The 22,428-nt window shown below is 39.8% G+C and overlaps 1 protein-coding gene across 3 annotated transcripts in view, besides 3 other annotated features; it reads left to right on the top strand.

The window, feature by feature from the left end:
- Window positions 1-22,428, top strand: part of E2F7 (E2F transcription factor 7) — a 44,319-nt gene that overhangs the window by 922 nt on the left and 20,969 nt on the right. Inside the window, exons 2-7 of one of the 3 annotated variants that reach the window (NM_203394.3) lie at window positions 13-105; window positions 8,518-8,793; window positions 13,904-14,072; window positions 18,320-18,610; window positions 19,853-20,011; window positions 21,449-21,583. In NM_203394.3, coding sequence (NP_976328.2) covers window positions 13-105; window positions 8,518-8,793; window positions 13,904-14,072; window positions 18,320-18,610; window positions 19,853-20,011; window positions 21,449-21,583 — 1,123 coding nt within the window. Of the gene's footprint in view, window positions 1-12; window positions 106-8,517; window positions 8,794-11,985; window positions 12,029-13,903; window positions 14,073-18,319; window positions 18,611-19,852; window positions 20,012-21,448; window positions 21,584-22,428 lie in introns of those variants that run through there. The other 2 variants (XM_011537969.3, XM_011537966.3) reach the window with 2 other exon arrangements.
- Window positions 1,531-1,680: an enhancer, noted in NCBI's record as "active region_6683". NCBI's record gives its function as "activates an Ori minimal core promoter by ATAC-STARR-seq in GM12878 lymphoblastoid cells {active_cell/tissue: GM12878}" and the evidence as "EXISTENCE:reporter gene assay evidence [ECO:0000049][PMID:35858748]".
- Window positions 1,711-1,770: an enhancer, noted in NCBI's record as "active region_6682". NCBI's record gives its function as "activates an Ori minimal core promoter by ATAC-STARR-seq in GM12878 lymphoblastoid cells {active_cell/tissue: GM12878}" and the evidence as "EXISTENCE:reporter gene assay evidence [ECO:0000049][PMID:35858748]".
- Window positions 3,865-3,944: an enhancer, noted in NCBI's record as "active region_6681". NCBI's record gives its function as "activates an Ori minimal core promoter by ATAC-STARR-seq in GM12878 lymphoblastoid cells {active_cell/tissue: GM12878}" and the evidence as "EXISTENCE:reporter gene assay evidence [ECO:0000049][PMID:35858748]".

Here is a 22,428-nt window from a genome sequence, read left to right as displayed (position 1 = left end):
TGTGCATTACAGATGGAGGTAAATTGTTTAACACTAAAAGACCTGATCAGCCCCAGGCAGCCCAGACTAGATTTTGCAGTTGAAGATGGGGAAAATGCACAAAAGGTAAGCAAACATAAACACCTTAGTTTCTAATATGTTAAGGATGGTGATGTTGAATTCAATTAAGTGTTCCAACATGCCATTTGTATTTGTATTTAAGCATAATAATTAATATTGATAAACATTATAGAAACATTCTTTTTTAAAAATAGAGCCATCCAAACCATTATTGTTGGAATTCTACTCTCAGATATAGTGGGAAAAATAGGCAAGGTTACATGTAATGTTGTAACCAATTTATATAAGTCAAAAATATGCTGGCTACAGCAATCAAAGTTTATAATACAGTTGTCAAGGGTGGTGTAGCTAGTGCTCTGTAGGAATGCTAAGCCTCAGTTCCCAGGAAAATAGACCTTTGCAGGCATAAATGCTGGATTATTAAAGTGCTGTGAAATGTCTTCATACCAATGAACTAGCTCCCAGAGACTGTTCCATTCACCCAAGAGTAGACCTGTGCCTACTATATAGGGAGATAAAGTGGCTGAACTCATCAGTATATTCTGAATATTTTACCATACTGTTGCTAGTTTTGCACTGAGCCATTCCCTTACATTTTGCACCCCTTGTGATTTGTAAGACCAAGATGTTGTTTTCAAGAACATTACAAAGTAAACTGGCCATAACAATGTCTAAACTATCTGAGCATTTTTAGGCACAGGCAAATAGAAATAACAAACCAAGTTTTAGAAACTTTGAATATAAATCTGTGAGTAGCAACTTGGGCATTGAACTTCTCCGAGCTCCTGGTCTTATTTTTAGGCTTAGCATCAACAGTGAAACTCCTTGGTTGCAAAGCAACCCAGGCTCATATGAGCCTTTGAAGAATACTTGATAATTGCTAATTTAGGATAGATGCGAAATTGTATGCTCCCCCATCTAGGGATTTTTTTTTTGTCCGGCATTTTGATTTATTTTTATTAGGTAAAGAAATACAGTAGTTCCCCTTATCCACAGGGAATGTGTTCCAAGACCTGCAGTGAGTACCTGAAACTGTGGATAATAGTGAACCAGATTGCCATTAGTTGGAACACATTTCTGTTTATTCTGTTTATGTTTTCCACCCCCAAATTTAGTGCCTTTTCCATCTTAACTAAGTACTTATGTACCATGGCTATAACTTTTGCAGTTTGGGGTATGACAGCAAAACTAGCATGAATTTCTCTTTCATTCTTTACAATTTCACAGATAGGAGACTAATTCTTACAGTAGATCTTAGCAACCTTGGCGTACGATTTTCTTTCCTTAAGTCAAGAACGTTCACCTTTTCACTTAAAAGAAGCACTTTATGGCTTCCCTTTGGCATATCCAAATTGCCAGCATCACTACTCTTGTGCTTTGGAGCCATTATGAAGTCAAATAAGAGTTACTCGAACATGAGCACTGCAATACCGTGACAGCCAGCCTGAAAACACAGTGGCTGCTCGAGCAGGTAGTATCTACCGTGCAAATACGCTGGACAAAGGGGTGAGTCACATCCGAAGCAGGACGGAGCAGGATGACGTGAGATTTCATTACACAGAACTGCACACAATCTAAAACTCATGAATTGTTTATTTCTGGAATTTTCCATGTGATATTTTTGGACCGCAGTTGGCCACTGAAAGTGAAACCACAGATAAAGTGAAGATTATTTAAAGTGGCCTTTTTTTTTTTTTTTTAATTATCTAAGTCATGAGGGTGGAAATGCCCAGACTTAAAGTATATATTCAGAGTTTTGGCTTTGAGAGTTTTAGAGCAAAACTTTGTTTTCCTTTCCAATTTGGATGGTTCAGCCTTGAAAAAATACACATCCATACATTTATATAACGTCTAAGTCAGTGCTTTACTTCTCTTCCTCTGGGTCAATGACTTTTATCAAGTACCTTCAACAAAGACCCTTCTCCTCTAGCATCAGCAAGTGCTACTGTGTCCAGTTGAGCTTTCACATTCTAATGTGTGTGGGGAAAAAAAACTCAAGTGACTTAAAGAGATTGGGAAAGCAGTGACAATGTTTGAAATAGCATTTATGAGCAGGGATTATGTCAACTCAAATAGAAGGCAAGAGATGAGAACAGGGTGCTTCCACAGAGTTACTAGGAGGGGCTTCTGTCTGTCTTTTTCATGCTGCTATGAAGTAAAGGAAGGATGCTTTCTAGGGATAATGAAAACATGGGGTTTAAGAGCCAAGAGGTCCTGGGTTTGATTTCCTACTTTGCCATTTATTAGCTATGTGACCTAAAACAAATATACTTAGAAAGTCTTTCAACAAATATTTTTGTTCCAGATGCTGGGGATACGGTGATTTAATGAGTTTCCTAATCTCCCTAAATCCATTTTTTTCTTCCATAAATTGGAATCAATATATAATACTCCCCACATTGAGTTTTTGTAAAGCACCCATAGGCACATAGTCTTCACACTGTTTTGAATCAGACTGATAGCCTAAAGATGAACATGTTGTCCACCCTGCCCTCAGTTACCAGGGAGACTTTCAGGGGCCCAGATGTAAAACTATACTGTGATTTGGTGAGTGCTATACTAGGAGTAGGAACAAATTACCTGGGCAGAAAGAAGAGGAGGAAATAAATTCATGGGAAGTTCAGAGGGAGTTAAAAAGCTTCACAGAGGAAGGAACATTTGGGCTAAGCCTTAGTGGATGAGGAAGCTCAACCTACAAGAAAGCAAGAGTGAACGAGATGGACATTTTAGGCAGAAGTAACAGCATGAGGTGTGAGCATTCAAAAAAATGTTCAAGAAATCAAGAGTGGCTGGAAGCTAGTGGTGCTGAGTTGATCCTTCTTGGAATCTCTCCGGGGAATACCTGGAGTGGTGTCTTGCTGGATCAGCGGTCATTTAGAGGATTTCTTTCTTGGCCATTTGCCCGTTGGTCAAGGTCTGTAAGTACTGTATTATGTATGCATCTTCTTACCAGTCATGGAGAAACTTTTCTTTAAAACATAAAGGAGTTTCCAACTTCATTACCCGAAGTTACTATGCCTCTTACCTGTTTACAATGCACTTGACACAACAAAAGTGGAAAACAGTCTGGGCCAAAGAGGCTAGGAGAGCTTTGTGAAGGAGCTAGCACTTGAGCTGTGGCTGGAAGGAAGGAATACTGAGTCTCAGGCAAGTAGAGAGGAGGGGAGTTAGTGAAGAAGTAGAAATGAGCATGGCATATTTGGGGACAATGCCCAAACTTAATGGGCATGGGTGTTCTTTGAATGTCATTCATGTCTCTTGGGAGTGGGTGAGAATGAAGGTGAGTTCAGTTTGGAATATGTTTGTACCTGTGTGGTTTATAGGTAAATAAATATGTGCAGAAAGCAGCAGGTAGCCTGATTTTGGAATTCATGAAAGGTCGTAATCAGGTCCGAACAGGAATTGTCAGCATACAGGTTGATTTTAAAGCTTTATACGTGGGAGTGGCAAATAATGAGAGAGCGGCAGAGGGTTGTGTGTGCACTCTTGCGGTTTGGTTTGTAAGAGTGAAAATAGAAGGAGGCTGAGAAGGCACAATCAGAAGTATGAGAAGAACCAGGAGAGAAAGAAACAGTGGTATCTCACAAGTTAAGGGCTGAGAGTTCTATAGAACAAAGAATAGTCAACAGTCTTAACTGCTGCAGTGAGGTCAAGTAAGATATTTTGCCATTGACTTGATCTGGCAACTGAGAGGTGACCTAAGTAAGAGCAGTGGATCAGAACAGACTGGTAGTTTGAGGGACCCCTAGGAGGTAGGCAGGGGAAACCCTCAGTGTGGATTGCTTCTAGAAAGTGTGCTCTGGAAAGAAGGAGAGTTGTTGGTCCATAGCTAGAAGGAGACACTTTCTAACATGTAGTCATTGCAATGAGACTTAAATAGTAGACAGAATTTCAACAGGCAAAGCCAGTGGCATTAAAGAGGAAGTGGTGGTGTGAGCACCAGCTTAGCTGTGACAAAGTGCAGGGCAGGTTTGAGTAGCAGGGGGACTGTTTGGGCAGAATGTGGGATGTGCATGAGAGGGAACTGAAAAAGAAGTTGGCTAAATATGGCCCAGAGCTAATATATACACTTGACTGTGTATATTGTTTGAGATAACATGATCAAAGCTGTATCGGACACAGGAGCAGGACTAGAACCAAGACAACGAAGACCTTTCTTTGGCAGCATGAACTAGTTTACCTATAGTCAGTGTGCTGGTGTTATTAGTAATAATAATGAACATTTGTATAGCACTTCACAGATGACAGAGTGCTTTTACCTTCTGAGCTCATTATCACAGCAACTCTATGGTAGGTAAGCCAAGGTATATTACCTCTATTTATATATAAGAACTAGAGGGCCGTTTCACAGGACACTCTAATGGAGGGAGTGATTTCCAGGGTGTTGCAGGTTAGATTTCCTGAAGCAGATCTTACCCAGAGGTTAAGTGTGCAGGAGGTTTTTAGGAAGTACTCTTGGGATCAATGCCTAGGGAAGGGACAGGAAGGCATGGAATTGGACAGAAGGAAAAGTGGAGCTGCAATACAGTCACAGTGGAAATGACCCTCTGGGGAGTTCTAGGGCAGCCATCAGAGGAGTCCAGAGTTGGGGCAAGGAGGCCTGGCTTTTTTTTTTTTTTTTTTTTTTGAGACAGAATCTCGCTGTCACCCAGGCTGGAGTGCAATGGCATGATCTCAGCTCACTGCAAGCTCTGCCTCCTGGGTTCACGCTATTCTCCTGCCTCAGCCTCCAGAGTAGCTGGGACTACAGGCGCCCGCCACCACGCCCAGCTAATTTTTGTTTTTGTATTTTCAGTAGAGACAAAGTTTCACCGTGTTAGCCAGGATGGTCTCGATCTCCTGACCTCGTGATCCGCCTGCCTTGGCCTCCCAGAGTCCTGGCTTTTATATGTCTGTGCTACTTCTACCAGCCAATGAGTACAGGAGAGGCTTCCCAGGAAGTGGTGTGATCTTGGACAAGTCAGCTGTCTTCAGCCAAAGCAGTCCAGTTATGGGATGACTGTTGGCATTACTTCTAGCAGCTGGGGAATGAGTCATGTCTGAAGAGATCAGGGTACATCCCAGCATCCACTCCACAGCTAAGCAGCCTTGCTAGAAAACCTTGGAGATAGATACTTTCATCTAAATTCCTCATTTTATACCTACGGAAATCTGGGCCCAGACAGAATGAACAGTTATCCAGGATCAAAAAGATACAAACAGCTGGGACACAAATCAGGTTTCCATTGCAGTGCCCTTTCCACAGCCGTATATGCTGTCAGCATAGCAGGACAGACAGATGGAGCAAGGTGTGACTAGATTGCAGTTGACTTTCTGTCCACCTGACACCTTAGAAAACAATTGGGTTGGCATTTTTTTTTCTTGATGTAGAGGTGTAATACAATCATAACCTACCACATGACCTAGCTCCCCTCCTACTTTAAGTATTCAGTAAACTACAGTGAAAATATATCAAAATATATGAAGAAATAATCCATTCTCAGTTGCTCCCTCGCTAAAGTAACTCTTTTGGAAGCAATGGAGAAGGCATGTAAATCTCTGTCCACCCAGCATGCCTGGACCACACCCTCCACCATGAGGATACCTTTTGGAATAACTCATCAAAGCACAGTGTTCTTTGAGTATCTGCAGTGGGCAACGCATTGTGCCAAAAATTGCGATGAACAAGACATGTGGAACTTGCTTCTTGACCTTTTCAAGGGCACAGTCTTGTTACTGAGACAAGACACACATCCTGGAAGTTAAATAGCAATATGATGTGCTGTAGTATATTTAGCTCGAAATGCCAGAGTGAATGGTAATAAAGAATAGAAAAGAGGGAAAAGATAATAGCTAAGTTTTATCGAGCGCTCACTATATGCCAGGAACTAATCTCATAACCCTTGAGATTGGTATTTTTATGAACTTCATTTTCGGTTGAGAGAAATAAAGTATAGTGAGGTACAGGAACTTGCCACACTCACCCCTGCTGATAAGCAGCAGGGGTAGGTTAACTGGCCCTACATCCTGTGTATATAACTATTTCCCCATGCTGCCTCTCGCTAGGTACTAGTGGGGATCAGTGGCCTGCTGGGTACCTTTGGTTGGAGCTGTGGAAAAGATAACTTCCTCCCAGTTTGTGCCCAGGACACAGGCTCATTTTTAAGTGTAGAATTTCAGAAAGTTCTGCCTTCAGCTGTTTCTTGCATACCGATGATTTTACACTGAATGAGGTCATAGGTGACCTCAGCCAAGTTATTTGACTTCTCTGTGCCTCAGTTTCTTCATCTATACAACGGAAAAATATTAGTGCCTATGTCACAGGATTGGATGAGGAGTCAATACATGCAAAATACATGAAACAGAGCGTGGCACATAGTAATCAGTAATTTCCCTTGAGAGTTCACCTGTAGAAGCCTTTATCAGAATAGCACACTAACAGGGACTTGTTAAAAGAGGTGGGTAGATGCAGCATTCTGGGCCGAGTACTTACTGTAGTATGAGAAATCGCCACTTCCACTGACTCCTCTCCTTCCTCTTATACTAGGACCGAATGTTGCCATGGCTAGCATGCAGCTTCTGCTGATCCAAGGAGCAAGAGTTGCCTTGCCTACACAAACTCCAGTTTCTCCCAATATTTTACCTCTTCACACGTTGCTCATTTATAGGAAAACACTTACTGTAACCCCCTGCTCAACCAAAACCCAAGCATTCAGTAGCTATACAGAATGTACAGGGAAGGAGTGACTGAGAACTCATCTACCTTTGTAATTATATGACACACTATTGACTGGAAAGGAATACTACAGAAAGAGCAGAATCTTTCTGTTTTTGAATATTGAATTATCGAATTCTCATATTGAATTTTTGAAACTTTTTTAGGGGAAAGATACGTTTTAATTACTTGTTAGTTCCAAAGGTGGATTCTATATACTTAGTCCTTTTTTACAATGGGCCCATCGTTAGTCTTTTCTTAGAATTATTTAAGACAGTCTACATCAACGGGTGGTCTGGAGGCAGATGGTATTCCACAAACTATCACCAGGGTGCAAAAAATTAAGAACGGAACTTGAGAGTTAAGCACTTAAAAACCTCAGTAGTCTAGATGTGGTGGCTCATGCCTGTAATCCTAGCACTTTGAGAGGCCAAGATGGGATGATTACTTGAAGCCAGGAGTTTGAGATGAACCTTGGTAACATAGTGAGACCCCGATCTCTACAAAAAATTAAAAAAGGCCAGGCCTGGTGTCTCATGCCTGTAATTCTAGCACTTTGGGAGGCTGAGGCAGGAGAATCACTTGAAGCCAGAAGTTCAAGACCAGCCTGGGCAACATGGCAAGACCCCGTCTCCACACAAAATTTTAAAAATTAGCTGGGTGCAGTGGTGTGCACACCACTGTAGTATGCACACCACTGGAAATCCCAGCACTTTGGGAGGCTGAGGTGGGAAGATCACTTGAACCCAGGAGTTTGAGGCTGCAGTTAGCTGTGATCATGCCACTGCCCTCCAGCCTGGGTTACAGAGTGAGACCCTATCTCCAAAAAATAAAATATAAGTATTTGGGTGTAGTGGTGCATGTCTGTGGTCCCAGCTACTTGGGAGGCTAAGGCGAGAAGATTGCACGTGCCCAGGAGTTTGAGGCTATAGTGAATTATGATCACACCACTGTACTCAGGCTGGGCAACAGAGTGAGACCCTATCTTTTAAAAAAAAAAAAAAAGTAAGAAAAATAAACCTCAGTAGCAATTCAGTATTGCCACCATATCTAAGCTTATGATTAGTGGTCTCTTCTTGTTGAAGAAGCTGTGGGTCAGTTTGAGTGACAAACTCAAATGGCAAATCACATCTGGTGGGAGTTGTGTTGCACATTAGTCCTGTGAAGTAAGGTCACATATCAGTTTGCAGGAGTTTGGAAATCTAAAAAAACGAGTCCTTTACCATGGGTAGTTTGAGATGCACTGCTCTGGAGAATGACGTTAGAGAGCTCTCTAGGTTGGCTTAAAATGTGGGATTTTGTTGGATGCTCTTCCATTAACTGGTCCTGCTACTAAGTGCTGTATTAGCACTGGTGCACATTGAACTACAGAAGCATTGTTGCTCTTCACTAGTCAATGCAAACTTGTAAGTAGTGTTTTAAAAAAGGTGACACTTAGAAACAATATGGACTCAACCCACATTGGCCCTCATAGTCCTCATCTGTTATAAACATGCAACAGTAACAGATACGTTGTGATTTCTTTTACAGAGATACCATGAAAGATAGGTGTAAAAGGAGTAGCAGAGTATAATCTACTTCTCATTGGAGCCACTCTTCTATTCCCATGACTACTTTTCGTTAGTCCTATCCTGATACTTTTCAGCCCTAAACATATGGTCCTATTTGTATTTTCAAGTCTTAGTGAATGGTGGGAACAAAGTATACTCTTAGCTGATACCTGCCCTTTCTCATTCTTGCTAAAAGTTTCTTTTTTAAAATAGGAAAATATATTTGTTGATCGATCAAGGATGGCCCCGAAGACTCCAATAAAAAATGAACCAATTGATTTATCGAAGCAAAAAAAATTTACTCCAGAAAGAAATCCCATTACTCCAGTTAAGTTTGTTGACAGACAGCAAGCGGAACCATGGACACCCACAGCTAACCTGAAGATGCTCATTAGTGCTGCCAGCCCAGATATAAGGGACCGGGAGAAGAAAAAGGGACTATTCCGACCCATTGAAAACAAGGACGATGCATTTACAGATTCTCTACAGGTAAACAGACTGTGCTCCTCAGGGATTTTTTAGAACTTAAACAATTTTACTTGATTATTAAAAAATCATAGAACTGTCAACTTTTCAGCTCCTATTGAGCCAAAAGCAGTGGCAAACTGAATATCTTTTGATTTGTAGTAGAATTCTCATTCTATCTTATTTTTCATAATGAATGCTTTCTTTTCTGTATGATACTCCCTGGACCAGGGCTCATTTAAAAATGATAAATTATTTTAAAGTAATGATATTTAATCATTTTTATTTAATGAAGGAATTTGGATTCTTTAAATGCTGCTGTGAATTTTAATTTTGCCCAGATTTTAGGGATAATGTTAATGTAAATATTTTTGATTTAGGAAATTCCATTATTCTTATATATGTTCAGTTGGTTAGTTTGGGGCTTTATTGAAGTTAAGCCATCTTTAAATTACCTGTTCTGTGGGGAACCAGTGCTGTTGAATAAGCAGCATGTCTATACTTCGTTAAAAAAAAAAAAAAAGGTAATTATTTTCACTTCCCATCAAGCTTTTTCTCAGACTTCCTAAGAAAAGTTTTGCAGATTTCAGTATTCTTAACCATTTTTCTCTTTTTGGCGGATTTTTCAAGCTATAAAAATTGCCAAAATGAAGAAATTGGGAAGAGAGAAAAAAGATGTCTCGAATTACAACTTGAAATTCATAGAACAGAATGAATTTAATCTGTTATATATCTTGCAGTGGTAGAGTAGCGGTAGTAGTAAGAGATTCTTTCATGTAACTAAATACAAATCACACAGTAGTTCCTATGTGCTTGAAGCCAGAGGAATTTCACAATTCCTTTTTTTAAGTCTGGGCTGTTCTTTGGCTTCCTTTCCGTCTTATGTTTGATGTGGATCACACAAGGAGCTGGTCTAAGGCCTTAGGTTCAAATCACTAGCTGGGTGAGTTGGGGATATCACTCAGGATCTCTGCATCTCAATTTACTCACCTGTAAAATGAGGGTCGTGGTACCTGTCCTGGTTTTATTGGGGTTCTAAAAACTAAATAAGATTAAATGTGCCTTTTGTTGTCAAAGGCATGTAAGTATTAGATTTTTTGTAATTTTTTTGACAAAAATATAGCAAAGTGAAAATCAGCCAATGGGAATCGTTAGTGACCTCTTTCGCAAGGTAACATTGTTGATCTCTTACTTTGGCAGAACTAGTTGTTTAACACGCCCCTAAAACAATTAAAATTTTGGTTTTCTACCCAGGCTTTATAGAGAGATTTTAGCGATCAGTCACTAGAAAGGTTCACCACCTGTAGGAAGTAAATGCCTAAAATTTCGGTGGATTTAAAACAGACTTTCTTTTAAAATCTAGGGCTTTAATATCTTTCAGCAGTGTTTCACAATTTTTGGTATACAGGTGTTATACATCTTTTGTCAGATTTATCTCTAGGTTTCCAAATTTTTTGATGCTATTGCAAATTGTATTTTTTTTTTAGTTTCAATTTCCCATAGTTTGTTTCTAGTATATACAAATACAATTGATTTTTTTGTGTGTGTGTATTGATCTTGTATCCAGAAAACTTACTATACTGATGCTTTTAATGTCTGATTTATTAGATCAAAGTCAAGTGTTTTAAGTAGTTTTTTTTTTTCTTTCTAACTTTTAAGTTCAGTGGGTACATGTGCAGGTTTGTTACATGGGTAAGTTGCATTTTGCGAGTGTTTGGTGTACAGATAATTTGGTCACCCAGGTAATCAGCATAATACCCAATAGGTAGTTTTTCAATTCTCACCCTCCTCTCACCCTCTACCCTCAAGTAGGCCCTGGTGTCTATTGTTCCCTTCTTACTGTCTTGGGGTACTCAGTGTTAAAACAGACTTTTTTATACCTTTTTAAAACTAGTCTTTATTACCTTTTGATAGACTATTTGATCATGTAAAATACACTTATCCTTTGCAGTACCTTTAACACCATGAATCTACCTCTCAGCCCAAAAATGGATGCGATGTAATTAATTTACATTTCTCTCCCCAACAGAATAACCATTCTTCTGAATTTGTATTTATAGTCTTAGAGGACTTGCTTTTGTCAATCAACATACATCCTTTAGGTTCATTTGTGTTTTCGCATGTAGCTGTAGTTCTTTCATGGCTGTATGATATTCCATTGCATGACTACACCACAATTTATTCATTCTCCTGTTTATAGCCATTTGGGTTGTTTGCAGTTTAGGGCTAATACAGACTATGCTATGATATTCGTTCTTGTTTATGTCTGCTGGTGTACATATACAAGTTTGCCTTGGGCAGTGGTTCTCAAAAGGTCATCTGGGGACCTCAGTGTCCACAGACAGTCTTTCAGAGAGTCAGGAGGTCAAAACTGTTTTTCATAATTATACAAAGACCTTTGCCATTTGAACTCCCATTCTCTCCCAAGTGTACACTGGAGTCTTCCAGGAAGTACACAATGTGGATATTGCAACAGACTGACTACAAAAGGCAAGCACAAGAATCAGTTCTCTTCTATTAATCCAGAAACTAAAGAGATTTGAAAAATAATATATAAAATGCCCCTTTCTCACAAAACATTTTAACTGCCTCAATTTTAATTTCTAACATGCTAACTATCAATAGATAACCCACATAAACAAAAAGCCCTGTGGAGTCCTCAGTAGTTTTTAAGAACATAAAGGGGTCCTTGGAGCAAAAAGTTTGAGAACTACTGTTTTGGGTACATACCTACTAGTATAGGTGCTACGTCATTAGATATACAGATGTTCACAAGATAATGCCAAATTGCTTTCCAAAGTACTATTTGCCTCCCCCCAGAAATATATAAACTTTTAGTCACCCATATCCTCTCTGACACTTGAAATTGTCAAATTTAGTAATTTCTGCTAATCTCATGTCTATACAGTATGTATCTTTTTGTGATATACATTTGCTTTTCTTTGATTACTCATGAGATTAAGCTTCTTTCCACATGTTTACTGGCCACCATGTTTTTTGCTCCTCTGTGAAATGCCTGTTTGTGTTCTTTGCCAATTTTAATTGGTTTTTTTTTGTCATGTTGATTTGTAGGGGTTGATTATATAATGATACTAAACCTTTATTATATATGTTATGTATCTATTCTTTCAGTTCGGTAATTGTCTTTTCCCTTTATGTTATTTCTTGATGGACAAAAGTTCTTAAGTTTAATATAGTTCATTTTTTCCTTTTAAGGGTAATGTTTTTTGTGTCTGAAGAAGCTCTTCCCTATTCCAAGGTTAGAAAAATATTCTCCTTCATTTTCTTCATTTAAAATTTGCTTTACATGAAATCCTTGATCCATTTGGAATTGCTTTTTGTGTATGGTATGAGTCAAGATACAACTTTGCTTTTCTATACATATCATCAGTTGTCCCTGCACCATTTATTCAGGAGGTCTTTCTCTTCCCCCTAGCTGGCAGTGCAACTGCTTTCATATTAAAATTCCATTTACATGTGTGTCTGTTTCTGAACTCCTCCTGTTCCATTGTCCATCCCTGCCCTAATACCCTATTGTAATAAGCACTGATATCAGGTAAAATGGGACCCTCAACTTATTTTTCTTCAGTGTGTGGGCTACTCTGGGCTGTTTGTTCTTCCATGTGTATTTTAGATTGGATTTTATTGAGATTGCATTTAATCTAGAGATTAAAAATTAACCTCTTTAAGATACTGAGTTTTCTTATCTATGAAGACAATATATTTCACTAAATTTTAAGTATTCTTTAAAATCTAAGTTTTAGGATTTTATGCAAATAGATTTTTGCTAGATTTATTTCTAAAATCCTTATCATTTTTGTTGCTTTCGTAAATGATGTCTTTTCAATTTATTTGCTGTTACTGTTGTACAGGAATGCAGCAGACTTTAAAAAACATATTATCTTGTATTCAACTACCTTGCTAAATTCTAAAACTATTTTTAATGATTTGTCTGAAATTCTTTTGAGTTTTTTTGTATGAATAGTGACATCTTCTGCAGAAGGAAAGTAGCTGATTACTTTCCAGTCCCTGTGCCTCAGTTTCTTTTTCGTGTCCTCATGCATTGACTAGAGTCTTCAATATGAGATAGAAGAGAAAGTGATAATGGGCATCCATATTGTTTCCTGACTTTAAGGGAACACGTCCAAGGTTTTACAAATAGATGTTTGCTGTTGTGTTTTCATGAATACCTTTCATTGAAGAAGTTCTCTGTTATTCCTAGGTTTTTTTAATTGTATTTTTATTATACTTTAAGTTCTAGGGTACATGTGCACAGTGTGCAGGTTTGTTACATATGTATACATGTCCCATGTTGGTGTGCTGCACCCATTAACTCATCATTTACATTAGGTATATCTCCTAATGCTATCCCTCCCCCCTGCCCCCACCCCACGACAGGCCCCGGTATGTTATTCCTAGTTTTTTAAAGGTGTTTTTGAAAATCATGAATGACTGTTAAATTTATCAAATGCTTTTTCTGAATCTGTAGAAATAATTATATCACTTTTCTTTTGAATCTGTTTGTTGAAAAGCCTTTTACTTTCTTGGGGCTTGAATGGAGCCCCTTTCAAATGTGGGTTGAGGAGACAGGATGCTAGTTTAATGTATTTACAAATAAAAGGATAAGGAAGAATATGATTGGACTGCCTTCATTCACTTTCATCAACCTTTGGTCGATTGTAAAATATAAAACAGTTTGGTGACAGAATGCAGGCCAGTGCGTCTGAAACTTCCACGTCATTAGAAATCACCTAGAATCTTATGAAAAGGCAGATTCTGATACAGCTGATGCCTGAGCTTCTACATCTCACAAGCTCTTGGTGATGCTGATTCCACAGGCCTAGCGAGCGCACTAGTAGCTAGACTGTAGCAACCTGTAAATGACTCTCATTTTTCATTTGTCAAACTTTTGACTAATAGACTCAGCCTCAAATTATAAAGGAGAAAAAAATCAGTCCAGAGAAGACAATAGATAAAACATTCAGGGAATTAGATTAGGAAATGTATTTTAACTAGAATCTAGGATGGTATGGATTGAGATGTCCCCCCAGTTTGCCAACACTGGCCATTGCCATTTCTCCATTAGGATGTTAACTGTGACATCTTCCCCCTCCCTTCTATCTGCCCTCTGTAGCTTGATGTTGTTGGGGACAGTGCTGTGGACGAATTTGAAAAGCAAAGGCCAAGCAGAAAACAGAAAAGTTTAGGACTCCTGTGCCAGAAGTTTCTAGCTCGCTATCCAAGTTATCCCTTGTCAACTGAGAAAACTACCATCTCCCTAGATGAAGTTGCTGTCAGTCTTGGTATGTATCATCAGATTACCTGGAGGTCTGTCTCCAGTTACAGTGGGAAACTGGTTTCCTTGGGCAGGCTGAAGGCTTGAAGTAGAGTGGGCCCCTCAATCGGGTGAAGACAGAGGAACAGGCAGAGCTTCCTTTGTCATCGTCAAATTTGTTTTCATTATACATGGAATTTCAGGGAGCCTTTTAGACCTGAGGACCAAATGAAAATGCAGTCTTTTTTAACCTTAAAAAATATTTCTATAATAAGTAATATTTTTATAATAGAGTTACATTACAAATTAGTATCTCATATTTTAAATTCATCTTACTTCAGACAGACGCAAAACTATTTAGAAATAGCCTGCTTTTTATTTTTAATAATGCTTCCAGGAGTTCAGAACTAGTGTTATTTCAACTTTGTAAAGCAAGATTTGAGAGGAAGAGCATTATGTTTAAAGCCCTATACAATGATTGGCACAGCAAGTGGGTCAAATTAGAAAAAGGTCATTTGGACATAACTCAAACAACTAAACCTTATAACAAAGAAGAATCCGTGTGTGCACGTGCATGAGTGTATGATGTGAGATGGGTGTGTGTGCTGGAAATATGTATACACCTGCTTCAGAATAGAGACCCCTAGTGGACATTGCAGTTAGTTCCAGAGTGAACATATTGTTGACACTCGTTAAATAAGCAGAAATCACAATGACATGAAGGTGTCAGGGTGTCCCCTTAAAAATAGGAAGGTTTTACATACACACAAAAAAGAAAAAGTTCTGAACAAATCAGCTAAATAAATAAATGATAGATTATAATTTTTAGTTTGTTTCTTAGTTCTATTTCTTCCATATCCTAGAGAAATGTGCCCAAGTAGAGGAAAGTCTACTTGAATTATTCAAGCTGAAAGCTAAACAGATTTTGGTTGTTGGAAACTGAGAAGAAGAGACAGTGGGTTATGATAAGAAGACCATGGGCTGGGCTTTGGGTCACATAGGGCTGGATTTGAAGCCCAGCTCTCTAATTTACAGGCTGTAAGAGCTTTAAAAAGTGAAGTAACCTTCTTTTGGTCTATAACTTGGAAACTGCAGCACCTACCTTGCAGAGATATAGCAAAGTTAGGGATAATGTCAGTAACATGCCAAAGTCAATGGCTGGCATGGAGAGCTCTTATTATGTGGAACAGTTTCTAGTCAGCTCTTACTAGAATGTTGATACCCTAGCTGTCCTGTCCATCTCTATAGGAAGAGGAAGTAGAATGCTATGGTTTGGGGGCCGATTTGGAGCCCAGAAGTATAATATAGTATTCTAGGATTGGGGGCAATTAATCAAGAAAGGGAAAGTGAGCCAACTGAACATCAAAAAATTGGGTCCCCTTGCTGGCCCTGGGTGTATCAGTTGCATTCACATGGCATTTCTAATGGGAGGGTATATGGAATGTTATACTCCCTCAACAAGATGTGTTAATATATGAAAACAGACTAGAATAAAGAAGCAGGCAGTTTTAGGCAAGGGACTGCTGACTGCTCCTGCCAGCATCTTCCAGTAGGCATGGTGAAAATCCAGTTGAGGGCTTTTGGGTCCAGGGTCCTAGAAAGTAGTCTTACAGTAATGAAGGTAAAATGAAAGATCATCTGATATCCTTTTCATTGGGGTTCATGAAGCCTACTTCTTCCATGTACCCAACTTCCATTGAGGAGTGTTACACTGGTGTCACTGCAGAAGACAAAGGATTAGATGTTGGAGGGCCGTGTTACATCCCAGGGAGGACAGAAAAGTGGACTCCTACTTTTGTATGGCTGCAGATCGTTGTGCACATCCCCATGTTATGGCTGCCTGGAGCAGAACTCCAGAGATTTTTCCACAGCTTCCCAATGCCTCCTGATCACCCAGACCTACCAAACAAGCATGCCATCTTTTCATGTGACATCATAAAATGGCGTCCCTTGCTGGAAGCTGTTTCACTGACGACTGTCTTTTGGGGTTGAGTCTGAAGTCTGTGCTACATCCCAGGTTACAGACTGCAGGACTGTATTTAACTAAGGACGTGCAGAGCATTCAAATTGCATTGTTTTCCAGATTCCAGTGCCATGTAGATTTAACACTGGATATCATGGGTAACAGTTTAGAGAACTGGAAGTGACTTAATAGCACAGCCTAGGAAACTGTTTTCTGGGCTGAGAATTCTTAGTAAGTCCCATCAGCAACTAAGGGAAGCATAGCAAAAATTAGTAAATCCTTGACCATATAACTAATGCTGTGATTGGGATTAATAGAATGACCTCAATACAAAAGAAAAAGAAGACTGAATGCAAGGAAAACTGTTCTGACAGAGCAAGCCCCCAGAGTAACCTACGGGTCTTGAGACCTGTGAAGTGGAACTTTTTAGTGCACCAGCCAGTGGATGGGTAAACTCAGTTCAGATGAAAGAGGTAAGGGATTGTGCAGACAGGCAGCTCTCATGTTGGTTTTCACCAAAAGCACCTACTAAACACTCACTGTGCATCCTGAGAATCATACTGAGAATCTCCAGGTGGTCAGAAACTTATTTTGTTTTCCCTTCTTGGGATGTCTAGCCACTAGATGGAGACTTAACAGCTTGTTATCAGATATCAACTAACAAAACAGCCGGGCATATGGCTGGCCCTGGGGTGTCAGTTGCGGTCACATGATATTTCTAATGGGAAGGTTTATAGAATGCTATGCTCTAAACAAGATGTGTTAATACATGAAAACAGACTGGAATAAAGAAGCAGGCAGTTCTGGACAAGGGGCTGCTGCCTGCTCCTGCCAGCACCTTCCGGCAGGCATCTGGCACCGAAGCCTGAGCTTGTGAGGGTAACAAGCCTTTCAGGGTCATGAGCTGAAATATTCTGATTTACTGTGAAATGCCTCTTCATGCATGTGATAGAACTTCCTATCAGCTCTGGAGTTCTCATTGTAATTTGGTATATTTCTCATGTTAAATTTTTGAAGGGCCAACAGCTACATTCAGAGTCTGCCCTGATTATATAACAGCTCCTGGCAAGTGAAATGAAAGAAGGCTTCTTTGTAGCTGGGCTGGTTTTCTGCAAGATGCCTGGAGGCTTTTGCTATGTGCCCAAGGGCCTGTTGGATAACAGAATGAGTCACAGACGTGAGATTTTTAAAATCTGTTTCTACTATGACCTCTTATGCTAGCAGGGATTTTAGGTATAACGAATGTCATGCCAAAAGGAATGACAAAAGTATGTATTTAAAATTAACACCTACTGGGGACTCTACAGTTACAGTTACATTTCATCCTCATTATTATATAAGATAAATACAAAGGCACAAAAAGGTTAAATAACTTCCCAAGATCACTCAGCTAGTAAGGGATATATCAGGGATTCAAATGTAGGCAGTCTGACCCAAGAGCCCCCCACCCTTAACAACTATAAGTATTTTTGCTAGGTTTAATGGACAGTTTATAATCCTAGCTGCCTTGGGAGTGTTGGGAAAGTGAGTAGTGAGCTGCGGAGCTTCGTGATCAGCTTGTACTGGAGTCTCTGTGTTTCACTTTTGGGCTGTTTGCCGGGTTACGGTGAATGAGAACACAGAGAATTGTCTATAGCCATGATGAACAAAAGGAGACTCCCATGTTGTTCCAACCCCAGCTCTGGCTTCTTTCAGCAATATGAGAAGGGTATTCAAGCCCTTGACACCTGCATTTCCAGTTCAAAATAGAAAACATAATATTTGCATCCATTTTCCTTACTGGTCCATTGAGAGCGTTATCAAGGTAATTTTTTTATATCATTGGAACTTCACGAAAGGATAGACAGTATTGTCTAATAGGGAAGTGTCAGTTATTGGACACAGTTGATTTTGTAGTCTGCATAATTAGGAACACAAGTCACAGTCAACCATCCATTTATCACGTGTCCATTAGGCACACTGTTACATGTATTGCTCAGGCCACCAGTTTCAGCTGCTGAAATGTTCGCGTGGTTTGCCTAATGGGTCTAAAGAGCAGTTGCTGTACTGTTTGTCAGACAGATGGAAATGTCACCATCTCTAGATAGATGTTTTATCTTAGATTTTTTTAAGGGTTGGATCTCAAGAAGGAAAAAGAAAAATAATTTATATTGCTTGCATCCTTACAGGTTGAATTCCTTGAGCATCCACGCAGTGGGCATTATATTGGGGATCAGACAAAGTAGTTCACAGATATAGTCCAGGCCCTCAAGGAACTTCTCTTCAAAAATGTTTGTCTGCATGATGTCCATCAGCCTCTGTTTTTCAAACAGGTGTGGAAAGGAGACGCATCTATGACATTGTAAATGTGCTGGAGTCGCTGCATCTGGTCAGCCGGGTGGCTAAGAATCAGTATGGCTGGCATGGACGGCACAGCCTGCCAAAAACCCTGAGGAACCTCCAGAGACTAGGAGAGGAGCAGAAATATGAAGAGCAAATGGCCTACCTCCAACAGAAAGAGCTGGACCTGATAGATTATAAATTTGGAGAACGTAAAAAAGATGGTGATCCAGATTCCCAGGAACAACAGTTACTGGATTTCTCTGAACCCGACTGTCCCTCTTGTGAGTCCATTGTAACTTCATGAGTAATGGCAGAGAAAGAGCAAGTGATGGTCTCTTCTGCAGATTCACTGCTCAGATGGGAAGTGCCAGGTTGACAACCCTGGAGGGAGATGTTCTCTTATTCTCCTCACTGAAGAAAGAGAAGCAGATGGCTCCCCAACTGGACTGCCCACTTGACCTCATTGAAATAAACCTGGCTCATGGCAGTTCACTCGAGTTTGGCCTGTTGGGAGAATAGATCACTAGCATTACTCCCATTTTTAGATTGGCAGCCCCATGCTGGTTCTTTTTGTGCAACTGTAAGATTTACTTTGAAAAAGTTATATTTTCAAAGAATTTTATCTAATTATATACTGGAGTAGACTTAGACTACTTAGAAAAGAACTCCATTCACAGAAAATGTTGATAAGAAAGACAGACAACCTCTGCTTTCATTTGGTGCAGAATTTTTATTTACATCGGCATCGTTCTTCCCGATTCATATTTAGCCTCTTCTTGTTTTAGCCATTGATCTTCATCCCTGTTGCTAAGATGACAAAGTACAAGTATCACGTCTCACTTGCAAATATAAGAAATGGAAAGAAAGGTGGGCCTGGTTTTCATTAGAGTTACTGCCTCCTGCCTTTTAGTTCCACCCCATGAGCCAGTACTTATCTTAATAACCAGAGAAGACAGCCATCTGTTGGGGATGGTTTGCCTGCCATCCACAGGAGCACATATCTAATCTGTCTCCTGTTTATATATAGTTCATTTATTCACATATTTCTGAAAAGAAGTGGAAGAGGCGGGCATCTTCTATGTTTAGGGTATAGTCTAGATATTGCGGACACAGAGAAATAAAAATGGAGTTTTTGCCTTTGAGAGGAGAGTTGAGGCTCTGAAAACAATTCTGTATTCCCACCCTATCTTTTTATCCTTCTACATTAATCTTTCCAAGAAGTTGCTTCAGGAAAACTACCGTATGGATTCTATTATAGGAAGTATAAGTGTAAAGCATTGAGTGGTTTAAAATATGCATCTCAGAGTTTATGCCTACTGTAGAGTAATTTTACAAGCCACAAGAAAATCTGCCTCATTTCTTCCTGAGCTGACTTCTGTGATGTGTATCCAGTAAGCTTCTGCCAATGACAAGGGTGATCTTTCCATCTGCTGATAGGGCTAGATCATTTTGGCAAGCTGCAAGTATAGTCTTTCTTGTAGAAAATCATATACTTTGATGCTTTTGTTTCATTCCTTGTGTAGCATCTGCAAACAGTAGAAAAGACAAGTCTCTGAGAATTATGAGCCAGAAGTTTGTCATGCTGTTCCTCGTCTCCAAAACCAAGATTGTCACTCTGGATGTGGCTGCCAAAATACTGATAGAAGAAAGCCAAGATGCCCCAGACCATAGTAAATTTAAAAGTAAGAATCTTCACCTCCATCAACTTACTAGCACATAAAGGGTGGGATTTCATGTGTTGATATTTTCTGCTTCCAAGATTAAAAATATATATATTGTTTTTGACATACATACTCCTTTCCTGCATTCATCAAGGTTTTTGGTGCTGTGAGAGGTAAGTTAGTCACCTACTAGAATTCAGCTTAGAGTCCTGTCAGTGCCTTTTCCTCGGTGGTTTCAGTAGAGTGAAAAACAGAACACTATCCTGAGAACTCCGGTCAGGGAGGGTGTGAATTATTTTGCATTTCTCTTTAGTATTGCTGCATCCAAGACAGAATGTCTGAGTTTTCTTTCCCCTTTTTTCCCCACCCCCTGCATACTCTTCTGAAGGGTGGAGATGAAAATTGTCTACAGGTAAGAACCAGAAGAATGGCCAGGGTAAGGGTGGTGGGACATGGACAGGGAGAGAGTTTCCAAGTATCACACCCAGTGCATCCTCCTTTTCTGTCCATCTTGGATACTGAGCCAAATGCCCTGGGCTGCTGGTAGCCTGTAAGCCCTGGGAAACCATGAGCTGCAACATCTGGCTATTTTTTGTTTCCAGCTGAAATTACAGTCACCCTATGGGTGAAATAGCTAGATAAAATCAGGATTGGGAAGAAGAAAGCTGCATCCAGGGTGAATGCTTCCTATTTCTGGATGATAATTCAAACTCCTTTGCTTGATCTTAACACTGAGGTCAAGTGGGTTTCCTACCTGTAAATCAATTTCTTGAATAGAAAATACTTTGTGGTCATTATCGTGCCTGTCTCATGTGCTACCACCCCTTCTGAGTATTTCCTGTACTTTGTATATATTTAAGTGTTTCTCCCAAAGCCACTTAAGATTCAGGCAAGGCCCATCCAACCCCTTCTCACTGGGTGGCTAGAATGCTACAATTTCAGGTGAGGAGCTGCCTGTCTTTAGTACAGTTGTACTGTTGACCTTGAGCATCCTGTGTGCCCAGGAGTGCAGCCTGGCAGGAAGCTCTGGGGAATCTTTGTCATTTTCACAGACCAGCTGCCTTGTGGAGCTGGCGCCACAGTCTCCTGCTTGGAGAAACTCAGGGCATGCTTTTGACGTGCCATGTCAGAATTACATTTACTAAGCTTTTAATTACAGCCCATTCCCTCCCTTGGTGTTTTTGCAATCACAGTGCTCCCTGTTTGTCGCCAGGTGCCTCTTGTAAGAGGTGTGAAGTTGTGGAAATGGAAGGACACACTGACCTTCCCTTAGCCTTCAGATACTGCAGGTACATAAATCCTGGGTGATTTTATGACAGAGCCACTGGTCTCCTCATCCCAACCTGCTGCTTTCCACCTGAGGTTTATATGGCAGCCGAGAAAAGTTACCTGTCACATAAACTAAACTGTCATGGTGTCACAGGCAGCATGACCGTAATCGTGTTTTATATCTTCAAGCAAAGGTACGACGCCTCTATGACATAGCCAATGTTCTGACCAGCTTGGCTCTGATAAAGAAAGTGCATGTAACAGAAGAGCGAGGTCGTAAACCAGCCTTCAAGTGGATCGGGCCTGTGGACTTCAGCTCAAGTGGTAAGGTGGCGTGGTTTTGCTAGCAGGCTGTTTTATTTAGAATTCTCAGTTCCTTTTCCAAGTCTCACATCTACTACACAGTGAGACTGATCTTTTTCCCATGTCACATACAAAATAGACTAGTGACTCCACTCTTGGAACAGTTAACATTAGCCTACAAATTGTGCATGCTGGTTTGCCCACACATGGTAGGAAAGGAAATACTGAGTGTTTATAATATGGGAGTTTCTGTAACTACTAATTTGCAGCTCTTTGTTCTGAAGCTTTTTCCTGAAAGTTTGGGACCGAGAATTAAAAATGACACCTCTTTTGAACTCCAGTTGTTGCTACATTAGCAGAGTAAAACGTGGTTTCTCTTTGAAATTCTACATAATGTAAAAACTGTAAGTAAAATTATGAGTAAAAATCACATCAGTTACCATCACAAAACAAATTACATCTAAAGATGTGGTTAAGATTGCATCTAAATATAGTATGGATGTAATGGACTTTTTGTATTTAAAAGGTTATAAATATCATAATTTTACAAAACTGGAGTCAAAGAGGATATTAATCTTCTACTTATTTCATGGGTAATATATGAGCAATCAGGGACTAGATCCAACTGCACCAGCTATTTTACATATAGCTGTACTGCCTGGGAAAAAGCCATTAAAGTCATTTTTAAATTACCCTTCCAATTTTGGTGTTAGTGGTGTAAATGTGAGCCACTTAACCCAGGCGTATAAATATATAGCTCTCCACCTCACTTGTAGCACATTATTCACTTAGGATCTAGATGAAACCACTTAAAATCAAGTATAACAAATTCAACCCAGTGCGTATGCACTGAGTGTGGACTGTGT

This window comes from Homo sapiens, chromosome 12, assembly GCF_000001405.40.
Source record: "Homo sapiens chromosome 12, GRCh38.p14 Primary Assembly".
In the NCBI taxonomy this organism is placed as follows: domain Eukaryota; kingdom Metazoa; phylum Chordata; class Mammalia; order Primates; family Hominidae; genus Homo; species Homo sapiens.
This window is presented reverse-complemented; position numbering and strand designations above follow the sequence as displayed.